General features: G+C 38.3%; 1 protein-coding gene across 28 annotated transcripts in view, besides 1 other annotated feature; it reads right to left on the bottom strand.

Annotated features, from left to right (window-relative positions):
• Positions 1-19,488, bottom strand: part of STXBP6 (syntaxin binding protein 6) — a 240,694-nt gene that overhangs the window by 65,904 nt on the left and 155,302 nt on the right. For 2 of the 28 annotated variants that reach the window (XM_047431300.1, XM_006720121.5), the window contains exon 2: positions 3,295-3,456. The exons of the other annotated variants lie outside the window; for them this stretch is intronic. The gene's annotated coding sequence lies outside the window, so the exon portion shown is untranslated. The remainder of the gene's footprint in view (positions 1-3,294; positions 3,457-19,488) is intronic. 28 annotated transcript variants of the gene reach the window in all.
• Positions 10,126-10,420: a silencer, noted in NCBI's record as "tiled region #2406; K562 Repressive non-DNase unmatched - State 24:Quies". NCBI's record gives its function as "represses a minimal TATA promoter and a strong SV40 promoter by Sharpr-MPRA in K562 cells {active_cell/tissue: K562}" and the evidence as "EXISTENCE:reporter gene assay evidence [ECO:0000049][PMID:27701403]".

Genomic DNA, 19,488 nt, shown 5'->3' on the forward strand with positions numbered 1-19,488 from the left:
AAAAATAGTATGATTGATCTTTACATAAAAGCTGAAAATGTATAATGTCTATTCATTTTAAACGTCCAACACACAAAGAATCTTCAACTCTTTATGTCCAGGCATTGTTTTAGGACTCATTTGAGATTCTTAAAAAGATTGTTGGATGAACTGTTGGGGTGGGGTAGCAAGGGGAGGACTCTTGGCAGGAAGGAGCTTCATGCTATGAGAAATCTATTCTGTTGAAAGTGGAAAGATGTTATGCTCATAACTTTCCTAAATTCCCCTGGAGGGAATCATAGCCGAATATGAGACATTTATGTAAATTTTCTATTTCACTTAAGAGGAATTTAAACTGCCAACACTTGAATCATAAAGCAGTGTGACTATTCTTCTGGAAAAATCTGAAGGCACAAATAACATTCATCAAAAAATATTTACTGTGTGCATACTGAAGGAAAAGTGACACAAGGGGTAAGGGTGGCGGGAGGGGAAATGAGTTGAGGGGTGGAAATAGGTACAAGGTGATTGAAGTGCAGTCATATTCATCAGGGGGTTCACATTTCAGAAGAGAAATGACAAGTTCCTAAGCGTTGAAATAGTGGCAGGATATGATAAATACGGCACTGTGTATTTATTATCATCACAAGTGTATAACACCAAACAGAGTGGAGGGGTGGGGTGAGAGGTGGGTTTTTGGTGGATGCAGGACAGCTTCTTTATGAAAGCAGTGTCATTTGTGCTGTGGGTGGAAGGCTGATAAGGATCAAGGAAAAGAGAAGCAAGGCAGATCTCATTTAACTCTGAAACTACCCTTGTGCTTCCATAACTAAAAAGAGGAACCCTACTAACCGGGAAGGCCTGCCTTACAGGTACAGAAATAAAGCCAGCCAGAGAGCAGCTGATTTCTTTTAGATTGCCTTGACCTGGGATGAATCTTAAGGCAACTCATATCCTGGCCAAGAATTCTGGATACTCTATGCTCAAACTTAATGTTTAGGAAGTAATCTTGTTAAATACATATTTATATTGAAAAGCAGAACTCCAAACTTCCTCATCTTGTTTCCTGGCCTCAACACAAAGGCACTATTATTTTCTTGAAAAGGAAATTATTCCAGTGCCCCTGCCCAGGCTCTGACAACACATGTTTGCCCTCAATCTCCTTCCTCTTCTTGCAAGGACACCCATAGTTATAACTCACATTAGTATGGGGCAGCACAAGGGGTTTGACATAGAAGCAGCAATGATGTACTTGTGTTTCTGCTTAAACTGTGGAAACGATGTTCCTGAGAGAGAACACTGAGAATCTTACTTCCCTTGAGATACGCTATCCATTAGCAATTCAGCTGCAGGGCAAGGTTCACTTAATTTTAAAATGTAAGTCAAGAGCCTAAAATTGGTAATTGGGCATTTAATTGGGTCTGCGAAGGCACTTACTGGATTTTAACAGCTTCAACTGGTAATGTTTAAGAACATTAAAAATTAGAGCAATGATGAATCAGATGCAAATGGAAAGTGAATGAATTTTGGCACTATAATTTAACACACAGTTAAGTAGTGTTTTGAGCTGAAGATGTTAAGCCTGGTTGGTTTTCTTAAATTTTCTTATATGCCAGGGATTATCAAAATATTTCACTCTTTAAGCTTGGCTTCCCTTCTCATAAAACTCTACTTTGAAGAGTTCAATTCAGCAGGTATATATTTGGCCTAATTGCAATCAGTATTGCTTAAGCTTATAGGGAATGCTAAGAAGTATGAGCTTTATTAATATAGCGTGGTTAAACAAAACAAAGAACATCTGTGAACATATTAGAAATCTGGTCACTCACTGGGGCATCCAGAAGACATTGGCTGGACATCTGCTAATTGAATACAATGGCTCTTTTATGATGGTCTGTACTCAAAGACCTCAAAACCATTTTATAAATGCTGCCAGTGCTTGCTGACTACTTGTTCTTTTTAAAATTTTATTTTAAACATGCAATACATTTTCACACAATCAAAAAATAACATATTGAGACATCTTACTCCCATCTCTGTGTCCATCTACTCCTTTCCATTCCTCTTCCCCTGCCTTCCTGTATACCTTTAGATAATTTCTTTACATGGAAATAACAATAAACAGTCTCATTTCCTCCCTTTCTTACACAAAAGGTAGCATATTATATACATATTCTTTCCTTCCTTCCTCCCTCCTTCCCTCTTTTCCTTATTATTTTATCTCGGAACTCCTCAAGATTCGTGGAAAAAATCTAAATTCACAGCAAACTTCTTCCTACTTTGTATAGCTGCATAACATTAACTCCATTCTAAGGATGAAACATGAACTACTTAACCAGTCCCCCACTGATGGATAGTGAGTTGTTTCTAATCTTTTACTATTGCAAACAATGCTGCATAAATAATTTTGCAAGTATGTTTTGAGAATAAAGTTCCAGAAGTGGATTGGATTACACACTTAAAGAGCAAATGTACTTGTAATTTTAATAAATATTACCACTGGCCTTCTATAAGCAATGTAACATCTTGCACTCCCACCAGAAATCTATATCTATTTCCTCATATACATGCCAAAACAGTGTGTAGTCAAGCTATGCTTTTTGCCAATTTGAGAGATGAGAAATTATATCTCAGTGTAGTTTTAACTTGCATTTGTCTTATTATTGGTGAGGTCCATTTGTATTTAGTGAATCATCTGTTCATTTTTTCTTTTTGCCCATTTTTCTATTGTGTTGACCACCTTTTTCTTAATGGTTTCTAGTGGTTTTTTCTATTCTAAGGAGATTAGCCCTTTGTGATTTGAGTATTCTCCCAGTATGGCATTTGTCTTTTGACTTATGGGGATTTGCACCATGACATTTTGGCAGTTTTGTTTTGTTATGCTTTTTTTAAAAAATAGTCATTCATCAATGTTTTCTTCTATGGTGTCACGATTTTCAGTCGTGGTCAGGAAATCCTTCCCTACACCAAAGAATCTGCCTTAAAAAATTTTCTGGTTTTACTTTTTAATATTTAAATATTTCATCTGTTTGAAATTTATGAAGTAGGGTCACGTATGCATTCAACTTTATTTTTTCCATATTGTGATTTAGTTATTCTAACACCATTTCTTAACACTTTATCTTTTCCTCACTGATTTGAGATACTAATTTTATCCTATACCAAATTCTCCATACATTTTTGTTGACCACAAATTTCACATGTGACCTTCAATCCTTTCAGAGAGCTGATCCAGTACTGGGAGAAGACCTCAATTAAAATATCTAATAACCTTTTCTTATTTATTTATTTATTTTTAAATTTATTTTTATTTACCTTTTTCAGTCCACCACTACAATGTGATAATGGCCTTTTCTTAAACTGAATTTCTTAGCAGACACGCTGGGATGTTCAACCATAACACACGTTTCATCCTCATTAGCTGGTCTTCTCTCTAAAATTCACTAAATGTTTTCTCCTTTGAAGCTGACTTGATATCTGTGTAAACAGATTTATGTCAACAATGCAAATTAACAGGGAGCTATTATGCCTTTCCCTATTCTTACTGAAACAGAACTGTGAACTATAAAGAATTACTATAAAAGAACACTGTACCTAAAGTTCTCATTATACAGTGTTTGACCTGAATGACCACGTGCCTTAAACATGTTTAAATTAGTGAATGCTAGAAAGCCTATTGACAGCCTATAAAATGATAAAAAATACATGAATTCTAAGAAAATAAACAACAAAAAACAAATGGTCAGGTGAATTTAAACTACGAGCCATGTCAACAAAGTAGAGAAAAAAAATAGCTTCCTTTTAAAGAAAAAGAAGGAACTTTCCATCTACTGAATTTATCATTCCTATCAAACAATGAATAATCAAATATTACATAGAAAATAATATGTAAGATTGGTTTTGCTATGGTCATTTGTATCTCCTCTACAGCCCAACATTTAAATGTGTTTATTACATAGAGAATGGAAGCATAATAGAAGTTTTCCTTCTTTAAACAAAAGGAAAAGAACAAAGTTACATGTAAAGAGTTTTGTACCCCAAAGCTTTTCCGGTAATCCATTTTGATACTGGAATAAACACTTAGTATCAAGATATTATTGATCGAAAGATAAAAAAGTTTCTTGCCCTCCTCCCTGCTCCAGGCTGACTCTCAGTGTGGATCAATATTTCTTTTCATTCGGACTCCATGATCTCATTTGGTACACTTTTATTTTCTTGCTTGCATGCAAGATAACTGACTCTCAGGGTTTGTTTGATGGAGATTCTATTATGGTCCTAAACCAATTATTTTAAGAAGAGATGAGGAAAAAAGGAGACAAACAAGTTGACAGAATCCATTTTATTCCTCTCCTTTTAATGTTTCTTGCCTTTCCACGTCGCCTTTCTTTCTCTAAGCTCCAGGCACTCTTTTTACAATAGAGAAACAGGATCTTGGTTGGCAGGAGTTGCCCCCTGTGAACAATAAAAAGCCAAGCAGAGATCACAATTCCCACACAGTGGTAGGGCAGCTCCTGAGGGGCAACAGATGGCAGCAAATGCCCGCTGAGGGTGTCTGGCTGCCTGCTCCGAACCCACCACCAACATGGGGGCAACCTGGAGATGATTTGTTTCTTGCTCCTTTCTATCCTCTTGGTGTATACTCCCTTTCGTCATCTATTAAGTCATGAATCTGTTTCTACCACTATGTTCGACAGTCATGTAGTCTGAGAAGGGACTGGCTGCCTCTGTGAGTGAAAGACTAAGATATGACATTAGTTACTGAACTGGCATCTGTCTTCTCTCCTTGTCATGTCCCGAGTTGTCTTGTGCTAAAGGGTGCTGGGAAAACATTTTAAAAAGTACTTACTAATTCACTATATTGTTCACAATATTCCCCAGGGAAACCAGCGGAAAGTTTCCTTAGTTAGGCACCACTAGGAATTTGCTTCTGGTGTTGAAAAAAACAAAACAAAACAAAACAAGACATAGCAACTAGGCACAGGAGCAAAGATTGTGAAAATTTTCCAGAGAATGGAAAATCTATTCCCAACCTCTTGGGGGTACATTAATGCTTAGTTCATGTCCACATGTTTACTGTGCCACAGGTACAACAGAGGCTTGTCTCATCAGCCTCAACGTGCATAGAGAGGAAGATCCTCTGAAGGATGGGGAGGGTCATAACCAGGAAACGTACAGGAAGTCAGTAAAAGGACCACGTCTCTAGTGCAGAAACTGTAGGCCAGGTACATGATGCATTGCTCCCTACCATCTGGTGCTGAGTATTTGGGCTCTGTATTGAAAATGAAAGGTAAAGGGAGCCATGAGAGCAAAAATCTGGAAATATCCCAGTTCCCATTAATACAATAAAACAGACATTTATTTTAAATGACCAAATACAAAAACAAGGCCGTGCTATGGATCAATGATGAGAACATGTCATGAACTGATGATTATGATGGATCGATTATGTACACCCCGGTACTAAAAAGGAAAGAAAGGGAAGCAGGGACTTTAGAGGGCAGAGAAGAAGAGTTAGCAGAACAGCACTGTGGGGCAGTTCCAATCTCTGAAAGGTCAGATGAGTCACATTTCATAAGGTTCCGACATTCATCCACTGCAACTGTGTTTTCTCATTGTTTTGAAAATCCAAAAACCAAGGATACTTTTCAGATACTATCCTACTGTTTTGAAAGCATTATTCTCACACACTTTTCATTCCTCTACTATCTACTTGCTTCCCCATACACCTTACTTTGCAGGTAATGTTACCTCCAGTGAGCTGTCCAGAGGTTTGATCTGCTTCTGTTTTTTTTTTTTCTACAAATCTGAACAGAACAGTGGGAACTTTGGGAAAGGCTCAGGCTGTGTTCAGTGTCTGTGGGCCACTAATTGAAGGGTAAAACTCAGAGGCAGCTTTCTCTATACTTTCTTGGAACTCCACTACTTCCTGAATCTTCTCTTTCTAAAGGCCATGGTGGGTGGCCAGGGCTCCAGCCAGCAGATGTAGTTTACATTGGAATACTCTTTAAATAATGGCAGAAAAGCAAATCCCTGTCTAGGGAATAGACTTGAGAAAATAACTCAAGTATTTGAGACTCCATTCAAAATACCATGAAAAAGGCATTTAAACTGTATAGTGGGAAAACACCTGAATCAAGAAAATGTTAAGAATGACAAGCTGAAGTAAAACAGCAGAGATGACATTCATAAATTTAGTGTATCTGAATATAAAGACACAACTTACTATGGAAGTCCATTTATAGCCAGTCATGATATGAAGGCAGCTGTGCTAGACTGGAGTTTACATAACCTCCCTGAAGGCAGAGGGACAGACTGAAAAATCACATGAGGACTGTTCCTAGCAATGACAAGCATACATTTTTAAGAAGCTGGTGACCTGGGCTGACTTGCTTGTGAAAAATAATGACAATGTTAAGAGTAGGCCTAGCTCCAGTCATCACTCTGAAATGTAGCTGCCAAAAGGGTGGGGAATACAGAGCAACTGTGTGTACAGGGGCTAGTGGTTGGCTGGAGCGAAGATGTGCAGGATGGATTTACGAATATCTCTATGAATGGGGAAGATCTCCAATTTGCCAAAAATTGGAGGCCAGTGGCCTACAGACTGGGAGGTGCAAATCAGGAAGTTAGTTTTCTCCTTCCTATACATTGGCAGGGCCCTCCTCTCACTATCACATCTTAACCTATCTCAAGACCAGTTCCTACCTGAACTGCCCATCAATGCCTACCCTTCCTCTGGGTGACTGAGCATAAGAGGGGCTTTCGGCCGGGCGCGGTGGCTCACGCCTGTAATCCCAGCACTTTGGGAGGCCGAGGCGGGCGGATCACGAGGTCAGGAGATCGCGACCATCCCGGCTAAAACGGTGAAACCCCGTCTCTACTAAAAATACAAAAAATTAGCCGGGCGTAGTGGCGGGCGCCTGTAGTCCCAGCTACTTGGGAGGCTGAGGCAGGAGAATGGCGTGAACCCGGGAGGCGGAGCTTGCAGTGAGCCGAGATCCCGCCACTGCACTCCAGCCTGGGCGACAGAGCGAGACTCCGTCTCAAAAAAAAAAAAAAAAAAAAAAAAAAAAAAAAAAAAGAGGGGCTTTCCCATACCTAAGGGACTTGGTCCCAACTTCCTTAACCTTGAGATGCTTGAAGCTCAAGCAGAACTGTGTGTCTCCTCACTGGACCCAACAGGAGATGAATACACCCAATCACAGAGCTGCCTTACGTGTTTCTAGTACTCTGCTTCTTGCCAAGCCTGAACTGACCTGTATTCACTCAGTTCTCTTTCACATGCCTCCCTGGGGCTTTATTTATTTGATCATTCTCTTCTAGTTCACTACCCCACCCCTAGTCATTCTCAGCAAGGGAATACATTCATAAATAAATTACTAAATTCATTGATAGATAGAACCCTTAAATCAGCCTAGCTCTAGCCTACCACCTCTCCACTATAAGTTTATTTGTTCATATAATCCTTCATACATAATCAGCTCCACTTGATATGTAATTCAAATTTACGTATCTAAAAGCTGGCAACACTTTTGAAACTTTGTATATTCTTTCAGTCAGTAATATTTCTAGGAACTGCTCCTGAGAAAATAATAGTGAATGTGAATAAAGCTTTAATTACATAGTTAGGTCATGACATTGTTTATAGTAATGAAATATGGATAATGACTTCAATTTCCAATAAAAGGGATTAGTTACATGCATTCTGTTGTATTTTCACATAATTAAATATGCAACAACTATAATGCTATAAAATATTTAGTGACATGGAAAGATGTTCATTTAGAAAAGGAAATTATGAAACAATATGTGAATATGTCTCATAACTACAAACACACACATAGATATGGTGTTCCTCTGAGTGTTTACTTCTCTGTAAACAGAGTACTTCTCAAGTATAGAAATACTGCTAAAAGCATGTTTTTTTTTAAAAAATACACTCTTTATTTTAGAATAGGTTTAGATTTACAAAAAAGTGGTAAAGGAACATTTGTAACAATTAATGAATCCATAGTGATACATTACTATTAAATCAAGTTCATACTTCATTCAGATTTCCTTAGTCTCTACATAATGTCCTCTATCTATTCTGGGATCCCAACAAGTATACCACTATTACTTTGGTAATTAAAATTTGTATTGGTAAAAAATTGTATCAAGGAAACCACAAAAATTTATGACATAAACCATGGAGACAGTGCTCATGAATGGTAGAAGCCTCAAATATTAAATCTCCAACTATCTAGATACGGAAACCCCTTATTTCCTAAAGCACCCATGTTGAATACTTTCAAAGGCGGCTATTAGATGTGAAAAACTTCCCAGATATTCTATTTATTACAAAAAAAATGACCCACTGGAATCACTGGGCTGGAATTAGTCAGTAGAGTTTCCACTGTGAAGATTTGGTTCTGAGATCTGGCTTACTCACCAGTTTTTGTTCTTCTATAGTGTTTAATCCCCCTGGGATTCTTCTGCAAAAGCAAATGGAAATGTCAGACTATCCTCCCCAAAAAAGAATGGTTTTTAAAACATGTTTTGAATTGGAAGTTTCCTACAACACAAGCTCTTAAGTAATTGGCAAACAAAAGAAAAAGCTATGTTTAAAACAAGGTTTAAACATAGGGGACAACTAAAAACATTAACTCTCCTCTTTAATATTAAAACCCCTCTTTTATTAAAGGCTGTCTTCTCTTTAATAAATTTCATAATCAATTTTTAGCATGTAACTGTATAGCTATCTCTGCCAAAAAAAAAGGTGGGGGGGCACATCTTATTCAGAAGACAAAGAAAAAGAAGGCTTCCACAAATTATTAAGATTCAAAGGATCCATCAGCCACCTACATTCTGTGGAGTGGGACTGGCTGCAGACTAATCTAATCCTTAAAAGGTATACTAGAGAAAAACTAGAACAATTTCCTCTTGTCAAAACACATTCATATCTTCAAATATAGTTTTAAAGAGTTTTGGTTAAAATGACCTGAAGAACAGCTGCAAACAGCTCCTGATTTCCATCTTCCATTCCTAATGGAAATTCAGAAACAGAAGGTACCAACATCTCCATTTCTGAATCAACAAATTTTCATTTTAAATTACAATGACACAATAAAGGAATCCTATTTTGACTCATTTTCCAGCGGACAGTAATTCTAATATAGCTTACTTTCCAAAAGCAATAAACAAACAAACAAACAAACAAAAAACCCAAAGCACTGCCTACGTGAACCAACCGTCAGTGCAAGATGGGCGGCATGCGCTGACATGGTGCTTCAGAGACTGTGCCTCTGTGTCTTCTCCCAAAGCATACACATAGAATGACTTTGCACCAAAGTAGTTCTCCTGGCAAATCGATCTTCAATGCTAACTTTCCAAAAATATGCACATATTCAGTAAAGCATATGGATCTATAATGTTTATGAATACCCTATTAATAATTTATTATTTATGAATCCTGTTTTTATATATTTTGCCCCATGACAGGTACACTCAGTATGAAATGCTGAATTATAAAGCTCCTCACTATGTCTTGACATGGTTTTTGCCTTTATGTGTAAAGTCACATGAGAAATAAATATTTTTAAAGTTCTGAAGATGAAAGGCATAAGGAAGCATACATTCCACAGTTTTGTCAGGAAACACAAGAGACTGCTTTTCTAGCTTTTCCGAGACTTCATTGCTTCCCCATCAGTGCTCTGTTCTGGCCTAGCCATGAAAAATCAAGAAGCAAGGATGATACACCTATTTAGAAGGAAAATGTCTCAAGGTTTCCACCTGCCTGCTCTGGGTAAGATAAAACTTAGTGGGGTATATCTGAAAATCTAAGAGGACCATAAAGTTTCTGTGATATTTCTATTCTTTACTTAAATTCAAAAACGTTGCTTTAAAAAAAGAAAAACCACACCTGATACGTTGGAATTGAGAGGTTCTCTGAGGTGTCTGCCACCTCTCCCAGGTGTTGCCAAAAAAGCCAGTCTTCATGCTGTGATGAGCCCCTCCATCTCCAAAATAAGTGTTCTAAGAAGAAGGTCTATTTTCCTGTACTCAAGGTTTGGCATATCCAAAGGCCACAGGGTAAACTGCTAAGGCCAGGCAGGCTTGCTACAGGAGAGCCACCTCAGGACTCTAAGAGTACCTAGGATAGACAGGCCTTAAAGCCCATTACACTCAATCCCCTACCTTCACAAGGGAGGCCACCAAGGGCCAGAGAAGAGCAAACATGACCCAAATCATTAACTCAGGCACAGCTCTGGTTCTTCTAGTTTCTCTGCTAGTCACAGCAATTGCACTTGTTAACAATCCACAGATGAATGACATCCATTGTCTCAGTTATCAGCTCAACGTTTGCCTTCTCCCTGAAATCCTCCTCATGCATTCAGTATTTAGTCCAAACTGATCTAAATATCTTTGATCTATACTTTTAGGTTAAAAGAACCCTAAAGAACATTGGCCATGTGCTTGTTGCCATCCTCTATGACATCCACGTGACGTGATACTACCTAGTAACAGAAAATTTACTACTGCTTGTGGATGGATGCCCTTTTACTCCATGTACAGGAATATATGAATATGGTTTTTGAGTCCCAGAAAATAAATCTGGTTTGCCTTTCATTTACAATTCTCAGATATCTGAACTTAGTGTTCATGAATTTGCACTTATCCAGGGTAAACATGCCTAGCTTCTTTCTCTATGTTAACACATTGCCTGGTCTCCTTACGCAGTTGGTTAATCCCCCTCTTCTTCAGCTAGGTTAGTATCTTCTTCAGGGCAGGACACTCCGACAACACTTTCTGTATATGACCTGCGAAACTTCTACTTGCCCCAATCGCTTTGAGTTCACAAAAAAGGAGGGAAACATTAGCTATTTCTGATATTTTATTCTGATATAATTCTCAATTGGTGCCAATTTTTGAAATATTACATAGTGGTTAAAAACACCTTGCTTTGGAGTCAAAAAGACCCAGCTACAAGTGCCTGAGCTGCCATTTCTTATCTGTACGATTTTGGTTGGGATACTTTATACCTCCATGTTCTTACCTATAAAATAGGAACAATAACAGTAACTGTAAATCCAAGTTATTATAAAGATTATAAATGATAATGCATCTAATGACCTTAATACAGGACCTGACATATTAAGTATTCAATAAATGCTGGTTATCATAATAACCATCTCTGAGAAATCTTTGCTATCTAGAACTCATCTACAATTCAGATGACATGTTCTTGTTATTTTATTCTGGAATTTGGTAGTATTAATTACTCTGTGGATTGCCAACAATTCTGTTCACCCTTTATGACTTGTCATTTCACATTAACTTTAACTATTTACACATTTGCCAACACTTTGTGCAGTCTGAACTTAAACCTGGTATTCAAAGTAACACTCTCATACTGTATCACATTATTCTTGTGCCACATGCATTTTAGCTACCTTAGAATTTTAAAAAACACCAATAAAGCAATTGAGAAGGACTTGTAACTAATAAGTAGATAAATCCAGATTAAAATCCAAGTTTCCCAACTCCTAGTCAAGCATTGTAGAATATCTTGCTGTTTCTTTCTTGAATCCAATCCACAGGTATTGAGCTATGCCTTCTACTTTCTGAACCCTCCCAAAAGAGTCATGAAATCCCTTGCATTGAGTTTCTAAACAATAAACATGCAACTACAGAATTTCATCTAGCTTCTGTCCTACCCAAAGTGACATCAGGACTCAAAGCATGAATGAGAAGGTATTTTGGCAGGAAAGGTATTATTTTACTTCCAGAAATGTATAAGCTCTTGATAGTTAAGGCCTTAACAAAAAGCTTCCTAAACTATTATAATACATATAACATTTCTCTACACTTTGGTGCTTTATTTCATTATGACTTTTATAAAAAGCGGTAAAGGTAAATCATGTATTCATCCTTATTTTTTTTCCTGAAAATCAGCAAAATTCTGAACCTGTTAATTTATCATCACTAGCAACTAAGGAATTCTCAACAAAAAGTAAGCATCATACTTAGAACACATTCCCAACTATTAATTTTTCCACTTTCATGATTCAATTTTAATCTCATAGCAAAGATGAAAAGGTTTATCTTTTAGAGGAAATTCACTCTCCTCAGCCCTTCTTCCTAAAATCTATATTTGGATTCAACAGTCAGTGGTCTCAAACATTAATGGAGGCTTCCATTGAGCCATTACTCTTTTTCTCTTTTTGTTTTGCAAACAGGGCTTATTAAATCTTTGCTGTAGGCACCAGGGATGAAAAACAGTGAGAATGTGCTGATGTGAAAGGTTTCACTGAACTCAGGCAAATCATTTCTGATTTGCCACAACTCCCTAATAGTAAATGCCCCAAAAGTACACTATTTGGGTGGCAAATATAAATTACCATCACATAAAACACACTAAAGGAAAACCAAAACCCACCCCTCTCCCTGTGCCAGGGGTTTAAGGCAGAGATGTTGACTGCAGATGCTTCCCACTAAGTATCGTCAAGTCAGCGTAAAGAATACATTTTTGGTGCTAATGCAGCTTGATGCAAGTCCTACTAGCAGTGAGGGAAGGAAATTGCTGCATATTTTAGGACACACTGCATTTCTTTATTTTTGCTATTCTCCACTCTATTTTAAGCTTAGACACACTCATACAAAATTAAGTTTAATACACAGTTTAAAGACATATAGTACACAATTTTAATAATTAATCACGTGATGATAAGGAAAGCAAAGCCAATATACTTCTGTTCTTCATGATTCATAGAAAAGGTAACCAAATTCCAGGTCAAGACCATGGTCTGAACACATGCCTTTACTTGTGGTTTCTCTTAAACCTCACTAAAGTGACTAAGGAGATTATCTTTTAAAGGCACAAACCCAAAGACAAATGAAATGGAAGAGAACACAACATCAACAAAACTTTGCAAGCTATATTACAAATGGATAGGTGGTTAATGACCCAAACAGGCACAAGAAAGCTAAAACCTAAGCTGGCAGTAGGGAAAAGCCACAAAGCAACCCACCCAATATACATCAGAGAATCTCCCCAAATCTAAGGATTTTAAGGCATCATCACTACCTTTGGAAGTAGGGGTGAGATAGAGCTAAGATAGAAAAAATGGGCTGGGTGCGGTGGCTCACCTCTGTAATCCCACCATTTTGGGAGGCCGAGGTGGGCAGATCATGAGGTCAGAGGATCGAGCCCAGCCTGGCTAATATGGTGAAACCCCATCTCTACTAAAAAATACAAAAATTAGCTGGGCGTGGCAGCATGTGCGTGTAATCCCTGCTACTCAGGAGGCTGAGGCAAGAGAATTGCTTGAATCCGGGAGGTGTAGGCTGCAGTGAGCTGAGATTGCGTCACTGTACTCCAGCCTGGTGACAGAGCTAGACTCCGTCTCAAAAAAAAAAAAAAAAGAATGGTTCAAAGTCTGTTCCAGAAAATATTTAGATGCCCCAATCCCTTTCTCTGCTTTTATGGGTAGGTTCCTGACTTTTCTAACCCTCTATGTACCAGACACAGTTTAGGGTAGTGGCAATGTATTAAAAATAATTACCGTTGTTGTTTTCTTCAAAGAGAACATTTGCATACTTGTTTAGAGTACCCTGCCCCTTTTCCTCTTTTTGTACTTAGCTCCCAGGACCCTGGCAGCCAGACCATACTTTTTACAGGCAGATTAGAAAACCCTTCCCTGGGGAATCTCACCTAGACAAGAAAAAAATCATGAAGATGGTGACATCAGGGGCTTCCCCATTAAACAGCACAGCCAGGCCACCTTATCATGAAGTCCCAGGTAACAACACCCAATGACATGCTCAGGGTTTCTAATTGACTTTTAAGGTCCTCTTCTTAAATATGAGCCAACCACCAAGAATCACTGAGCCAAGTCTCTAGCATGAAAGTTAGAGTCCTAAACAGACCGTCAAAAGCAACCAGGAATATACAGGGACTAGGCAGGGGGAAGAAAACTTAAAAACAACAACAACAATAACAACGACTATCAGGAAAATAACAGAAGATGGTCTATTCATAAAACTAGAACAGGATGCTATAAGAATACCCAGAAAAGAACATCACACTCTGGGGACTGTTGTGGGGTGGGGGGAGGGGGGAGGGATAGCATTAGGAGATATACCTAATGCTAAATGACGAGTTAATGGGTGCAGCACACCAACATGGCACATGTATACATATGTAACAAACCTGCACATTGTGCACATGTACCCTAAACTTAAAGTATAATAATAATAAAATAAAAAAAGAAAAAAAAAGAATACCCAGAAAAGAAAAAAGTGTACTTACATATTATATGTATGTGTGTGTATGAATTTGTAAAGCTCAATTACTCAATTGTAAAGTTAGAAACTAAAGTTAAGAAAATCTCCTCCCAAAAATAGGGTTGGAAGACGGGAAAAAAGTAAAAAGAAATTAGAAGAATCAATCCAGGAGAGTCATACTAATCAGGATCCTTTGCAGAGAAAATAATTCATGTTATTTAGTTTTAGCAGAAATTATTTCTTACCATACATTAAATAACATAATCTCTAAGACAGCTAAAGAAGCACACTTGAAGTTGAGCTTTCAGTACAACTCCCCAACTGTACCAGAGAACTAAGCCACAAAGGGAGCTTCACCTCTTCTAACATCCAGAGACTGCCTCCTGAAGTGGCAAACTGCCACTAGAGCCACTAATTCCAGAAGCATGTTATTACTGCCAGGATCAGGGAGTCATAGGTATTGCTATGGACTGCAAAGCCAGGCTGTGCCTGCCACAATCCATACAAGCAAAATGGATGACAAGCAGTCTGCTTCTTGACCTCACAGAGCTAGTGCCCAAACACTGGGATGCCTGCTAATGCTGTCCCAGAGTAAAAAGCTTCCATGGCCATACCTGCCAACAGAACAGAAAGAAGTAAAGTCAAATCTAAATCACATTCAGAACACTAACTGCAAAAGATCTTAGAAACAGTGTCTATCCTTCTAGCCCCTGCAGTACACAAAGGTAAACTGGAAGGAGGTTGGCATGGATGTGGGATAATTCACAATATTCATCACAAGATCCTCAACATCTGAATAACAAAGTACCGAACAACAACAACAAAAAGATGCACATAGAAAACACGAGGGTCAGGTGGAGGAGGATCATGCATGAAATTAATTCAAGAAAACTAAAAAAAAATTAATTCCAACACTGAAGGGACCCACTAACTACTAGTACAATAGATGAAAAGAAACCACTCCTAGATATATTACTGTGAAATTGCTGAATACTAGGGATTAAAAGAAGATCTTACAAGCTTTCAGAGAGGAAGGGAAAAATGTCCTATAGAAAAGATAAGGAAATTAGCGTCCTTTTGGACTTCTAGAGGATACTGGAATCTAGAATACAAAGCCACAACATCTTCAAAAAATGTATTCCTTTGAAATAAATTGAAACAGTATTAAACAGGAAATTCAAGGCAGAGTTAGCCCCTATTTATTCTTCAGAGGGAGCAGTGCTATAGAGAGATAGGCACAAACTCCCAGCTGATTGCTCTATCCTTTATTTAATTTGGTACACTTATTTCAACTTAGAATTCTATACCCAGCCAAGCTAACAATCAAGTATCAGGGTAGAATTACATTTTCAACAGGCAAGTTGTTTGTGCCAGTGCACTGCTGCCATCTGGGCTCTATTTTGACCTTTATCCTGAAACTTGTCTTTACTTTTTTCCTGTGTTGAATCCCTTCTTCTTGTATCTGTCTTCCTCTTGCTCAGTTATGTCCTTGTTCTCCAGGAGTTTCCTAAGGAAGGGCTCGTAATGTCTTCTGTGCACAGATAACTTTGGACAGTATGTTAATTACGGATGCAAACAAGGCCTGAAAACAAATTAGGAGAAGAAACTGCTTCCACAAACCGTGGAGTCCTCCTAACAGACTTATGAACGTTTCCTTTTTAGACAAAAAGTGCCTATTTAAATAAAGAATAGGGCAGTATATTGGGGGCTTGAGTCCATCTCTCCACAGTGCTGCTCCCTCTGAAGGATAAATAGGGGTTACCTATGCCTTGAATACTCAGTTCATATCCTGTATATGGTTAGCCTGAATGTCAAAAGACTAAGAAAATATTATTAAGACATTAGTAAATACCACAATTTCATTTCACACTAAAACCTCACCATTAATTCATTCCCTGTTCCCCATCCTGTAAAGAAAGAAAACTGTCAGGAGACCTGCCCGACCCTCTCTAAAGAAATTTACTTAGAATTCCTTATGAATACTATAATCTATCTCATTTCACTAAATAGAGGAAAACCAATATTCATTTTACCCCACTAATATTAGCCTTGAGGGTACCCATATTTCCTTTATATCTTAGAAAAGTTTATCTAGAAAAACTATTTAGGTAAAGCTTTGATTTGTTCAATACATACATAAAATCTCCCACACCAAACTAAAAGATAACTCTAATGGAATACTGTGTTCCTTCTCTTCTGACATTTCTATAATAAAACTTCTTCTAATGTCTTGAACATGTAAGGCTTCTTCCATCTGATTATCCTGGTGCAGAACATTTCCTCTTCCTGGAATGACTTTCCTGCTCTTTCACTTTTTGTTAACCCCCATTAATCTTTCAGAGGAAAGCTCAAGAGCCACATACCCTGGAAAGCCTTCCTACAACTGGACCAGATCAGGTTCCCTTTATAAATGTTCCTGGCTCTTAGTACTTTTCTTTCCTGGTAAGTATCTCAGTATATAACTATATATGTTTGAAATTATTAGATTACCCCCAACACATGTACACATTAGGTTCTATGGGGTAGTGTCTGTCTTGCTCCCCCATGTATTCAGAGCATCTTATGCAATGCAGACAGTCAATACAAAGGTAATGTATACATTATTTTTTTTTTTTAAAAAGGAAAGAGGTCAGTAGAGAGAAAAAAAGTGGAAGGAAAACAAGGAGGAAAGTGGGGGGAAAAGAGGGTAGAAGAAAGGGGAGAGAAAGAAAAATATTCTAGGTGCAAATTCTGATTTTAGGTGGAAGTATTTATTTTTAGAATTTTTTAAATTGATGTATCTAGCGAGCTATTCTGCTTTAGAAATTTCAGAGGTTGCCAGAGGACTTGGTAAATGAGCCAGATGTTTCTATATTCTTCAAGGGGGGAAATAATTCTGAGGAGGAAGAAATCATGGAGTTGCATCCTTAGAAAGCAATTCTGATTCTGGGCCAACCACACCCCTTGGTTTGAGTCTTTTTCTTCCCAGAAAAGTCATGCAGAGGGCAGGGACCCCCCGCCCCCTCTCCATGTTGTCTTCCATGAGCATTCGGAGCAGACTGCCAGAGCAGGTTTCTGAACTCTGGTCCTTGTGCTCTGGCATCCCATTGACAGCACTGAGTTGCAATCCTCCGGGCCATGCTGTTCCCACACTGGCTCCATCTGGCCTGCAGACCATGAGAGCTGCAATGGGCCATGTGGGAGAACATCAAATATGAGGCACATTACTAAGATGTTATCAAGCAGGAGCAGGGGCTTGGGCAGAAATGGGAGAGAGCCGAGTGGACCTTGCACGTTCTCAACTATCAATTACTGTAACTAGAACTCCCACAGCCCTGAAGAGGGAGCAGAATGAGCCTCATTTTCCACATTCCGCTGCTTTGAAGTGCTCTGCCAAGAGACATTCAGCAGGAGAGCCCAGGAATGGCACTCTCAACAGCCAGGCTGCAGAGGGGCTTGGGCTGTCTCTCCTGCAGGTATGGTGCACACAACCTGACCACTGTTTTCTAGGTGAGCTGTGGTAGTAGATCCCAGAGACTCAAATGCCCAGAGATAGTGACTGTCTAAAAATTATTGATTTTGATCTAATGATAGTAATATTTACAGAGAAACTAGCCTTTCGTATGAACAATACAGCTCTAATGACAAAAACAACAATAGCTAACACTTGGGATGTGAGTGCTTATCATGTGCCAGGACCTATTCAAAGTATTCTGCATATATTAACTTATTTAATCTTGGCCACAAACCTAAAGAACTTACCACTTAAATCCATTTTACACATGGAGAAACCAAGGTACACAAAAATTAAGGAATTTGCTCTAGACCACACAGCTAAGTTGCAGAACAGAGATCAGAGCTTTGGCTATCTGGCTTCAGGGTCTGTGTTCTTATTCGCCAAGCAGTGCTGTCTTGCTCAGTTGGGAAATTCCCAAGCACTTAAGAGTGTTAGGTAACAGGCAATATATATAAAAACAAAAAAGCCTCCATCTGTGCAAAATATGGGGTACTAATGTGGGACCTGTGACTTCCAATTATGACTAAAGTTTTGTGAATAATCCCTAACACAAATGCCTAACAAATAAAAATTAGGGCTACAGGGATACTCAATGGTCAGTTACTTCATTTTGTTGTCTTCAAATGGCAATAAAATATATGTACCTCCCATTAACATTTTCCAGAAATTCCCAAATTAGAAAACAGACTTCCTTAGTAACTGTAAGATCACAAATATCAATGCCTTTAAGGAACAGCTAGCTTTACAGTAAAATAATTCTAAGTCTGAACTTCAGTCTAGTCATTCCTCTTTTGGGTTAGTGGCATTTTATAAAAAGACCATATAACACAAAATGATAATTAAATATAAATAAGAATAAAAATCAGGACCAAGGATCATAGAAATAGGGTTATAGCATCAAATCAGGGAAAAGAAAAAAACATGTGTTATACAGGTTCTATGGTAAAAGTAGAATGGAAACAGATTAAGTCATGTTAGGGAATTTGAACATGGTTTTAGAAAATTAGGCAAGACTATTAAAATTCAGCTTGCATTTTAGAAATAAAAAAGTTTTTGCAGAGTTGAGGATTGCCTGAATGGAAATGGACAAAAAGACAAAGACCAATTTGGAAAGTATCTCAGGGTCTCATAAGAGAGAAGACGTAGGTCTGAAATAAACCAGTGTAAAATGATGAGGACTTAGGGACTCTCTTGAATGTAAAAGGTGAAAGAATTGGAAGTCCAAGTCTAATGCTAAGATATCTAGGTTGGGGAAAGTGATTAGAGGGTGATGTAGTAAACCATGTAGGAATATACAAGGGGATGCCAGGAGGTGCTGTATTGGCCTGGATTTAGGTCAGGTGGAAATATTTACTAGACAACCAGGACAGCGTGGACTAGAGATAGTGTAGTTAACTGGGGGAGAACCAGGAAAGGTCAGTGTCCCCCAGACAGGAAACTTAATGCTGATGAGAAGAGCCCTAAGCAGATTCCATATCCCCCAATCCATAGAACACAGCATTTTCTTTTGGCTATATTTATCACCTGAGAGTTTGCTTTGCTCACATGTGTTTGCTTTATGGGGTACTTACCACATCTCACAACTCTGCTCACATCTGCATTAACTTTTCTCTATAGACAATGGGGCAGGGACAGAATACCCCTCTCTACCAGCCTAAGGAACTCTTGCATTGTGTACAAAGTGGTAGCTAGCAGACGAAAGGCTCATGGAGACCGTGGCTTCCCAATTGCACAACTTCCCTGAATCTTTA

This window comes from Homo sapiens, chromosome 14, assembly GCF_000001405.40.
Source record: "Homo sapiens chromosome 14, GRCh38.p14 Primary Assembly".
NCBI classification, from domain to species: domain Eukaryota; kingdom Metazoa; phylum Chordata; class Mammalia; order Primates; family Hominidae; genus Homo; species Homo sapiens.